This window comes from Homo sapiens, chromosome 6 (assembly GCF_000001405.40).
Source record: "Homo sapiens chromosome 6, GRCh38.p14 Primary Assembly".
In the NCBI taxonomy this organism is placed as follows: Eukaryota; Metazoa; Chordata; class Mammalia; order Primates; family Hominidae; genus Homo; species Homo sapiens.
In genome coordinates this window covers 5890667-5891505 of record NC_000006.12, presented here as the reverse complement: position 1 = coordinate 5891505, position 839 = coordinate 5890667, and positions in this window count along the sequence as shown.

Genomic DNA, 839 nt, shown 5'->3' with positions numbered 1-839 from the left:
GGGAGGCACCCCCCAGCAGGGGCACACAGACACCTCACACGGCAGGGTACTCCAACAGACCTGCAGCTGAGTGTCCTGTCTGTTAGAAGGAAAACTGACAAACAGAAAGGACATCCACACCAAAAACCCATCTGTACATCACCATCATCAAAGACCAAAAGTAGATAAAACCACAAAGATGGGGAAAAAACAGAACAGAAAAACTGGAAACTCTAAAAAGCAGACCGCCTCTCCTCCTCCAAAGGAATGCAGTTCCTCACCAGCAACGGAACAAAGCTGGATGGAGAATGACTTTGACGAGCTGAGAGAAGAAGGCTTCAGATGATCAAATTACTCTGAGCTACGGGAGGACATTCAAACCAAAGGCAAAGAAGTTGAAAACTTTGAAAAAAATTTAGAAGAATGTATAACTAGAATAACCAATACAGAGAAGTGCTTAAAGGAGCTGATGGAGCTGAAAACCAAGGCTCGAGAACTACGTGAAGAATGCAGAAGCCTCAGGAGCCAATGCGATCAACTGGAAGAAAGGGTATCAGCGATGGAAGATGAAATGAATGAAATGAAGCGAGAAGGGAAGTTTAGAGAAAAAAGAATAAAAAGAAATGAGCAAAGCCTCCAAGAAATATGGGATTATGTGAAAAGACCAAATCTACGTCTGATTGGTGTACCTGAAAGTGACAGGGAGAATGGAACCAAGTTGGAAAACACTCTGCAGGATATTATCCAGGAGAACTTCCCCAATCTAGCAAGGCAGGCCAACGTTCAGATTCAGGAAATACAGAGAACACCACAAAGATACTCCTCGAGATGAGCAACTCCAAGACACATAATTGTCAGAT